Genomic DNA, 1857 nt, shown 5'->3' with positions numbered 1-1857 from the left:
TAATCCCAGCACTTTGGGAGTCTGAGGCGGGCAGATCACAAGGTCAGGAGTTTGAGACCAGCCTGGCCAACATGGTGAAACCTGTCTCTACTGAAAATACAAAAATTAGCCAGGCGTGCTCACACGCACCTGTAATCCCATCTACTCGGGAGGCTGAGGCAGGAGAATCGCTTGAACCTGGGGGATGCATGTTGCAGTGAGACAAGATTGCACCACTGCACTCCAGCCTGGGCGACAGAGCGAGACTCTGTCTCAAAAAGAAATTTATTAACATATACTTGATAACTACATACACGTGGTAACCTGTGCATGCAAAGATGCAGGATTGTTTATGCGCAAACCGTACACGTGGTAACCTGTGCATGTACAGATGCAGGATTGTTTATGTGCACGCTGTGAAGGAACCCCGGGGGAGTACGTAGCACATTCTTAGCGATGTGGTGTGAACTGGGGGCCTGATGGGTGTACAGAAAATCTCCACTGAACAGTAGATAGCCACAATACTTACATATTTTGTTTACTTTTCTGTCAGAAAATAAGTTCTACATCCTTAAAAATACCTCTCCCAGAAAAAAGAGAAAAATCCTCCTGGTCCCATTTGCTCCTACTGCTCCCCTTTGAGACCACCATCTCTGGAACCTCCTGGCCAAATTGCCACGGCGGTGTCTTCCAGAATCATCTTCCGGCTTTTGTTAGATGTGAGTCTGACCATGTCCATTCCCCGCTGTAAAATCTTCAGTATCTTTAAAGAAAACACAAGGAAACACAGAACCAATCAAACAGGTGCAGTGTTCAGAATGTTCCACAACTGGCATGGCCTTGGTGAGGGATGTGGGGAGAGCCACACGGAGCACAGGGAGTGGCCACGGGTCACGAAAGCGGCAGGCTGTTCCTGAGTGTGGGGCTCCGCACTCATGCATGGAGTACAAAGAAAGAATGGTTCGTGTGCTTTTAATAACCTCAGAGTGGGAACGGCATTGCTAAGACATCGTAAAACCCAGAAGCCATAAAGGAAAATATTGATAAATTTGACTGATAAAAATGTAACAGTTTTTTTTTACAAGAAAAATGCATAAATCAAACCATTATAGAGACAAACTGAGAATAAACATTTACAACACATACAGTACACTGAGAGCTCATTTCCTCGATTTGCAAAGAGCTCCTACAGATCTGGAAGAAAAAGACCAAGAATCCAAGAGAAAAACATGGGCAAAGGACATAAACTGAGACATGATTCTTAGGAAAAGAAACACAAATGCTTTTATGCCTATGAAAACATCCCCATCATCACTCATAAGGAAAGAGAAGTGCAAGTTAAGACTAAATTGAGGCCAGGCATGTTGGCTCACACCTATAACCCCAACACTTTGGGAGGCCAAGGTAGACAGATCACTTGAGGTCAGGAGTTCGAGAACAGCCTGGCCAACATGGTGAAACCCCGTCTCTACTAAAAATACAAAAATTAGCTGGGCGTGGTGGTGGGTGCCTGTAATCCCAGCTACTTAGGAGGCTGAGGGACGACAATGGCTTTAGCTGGGGAGGTGGAGGTTGCAGTGAGCTGAGATTGCACCACTGCACTCCAACCTGAGCAACAGAGTGAGACTCTGTCTCAAAAACAACAACAACAACAAGAACAACAAAAATTAACCGCATGTGGTGGTTCACACTTGTAATCCCCGCTATTTGGGAGGCTGAGACGGGAGGATCACTTGAACCCGAGAGGCAGAGGTTGCAGTGAGCCAAGATCGTGCCACTGCACTCCAGTCTGAGCAACAGAGCAATACTCTGTCAAAAAAGAAAAAAAAAGAAAGTAAAGAAAGAAAGCAAGGAAGGAAGGGGAAAGAAAGAAAAGAA

General features: G+C 45.5%; 1 annotated feature.

Moving 5' to 3' along the window:
• Window positions 345-545: a silencer, noted in NCBI's record as "peak6868 fragment used in MPRA reporter construct". NCBI's record gives its function as "represses an SCP1 promoter by STARR-seq MPRAs in K562 erythroleukemia cells {active_cell/tissue: K562}" and the evidence as "EXISTENCE:reporter gene assay evidence [ECO:0000049][PMID:32103011]".

This window comes from Homo sapiens, chromosome 7 (assembly GCF_000001405.40).
Source record: "Homo sapiens chromosome 7, GRCh38.p14 Primary Assembly".
NCBI lineage: Eukaryota > Metazoa > Chordata > Mammalia > Primates > Hominidae > Homo > Homo sapiens.
This window is presented reverse-complemented; position numbering and strand designations above follow the sequence as displayed.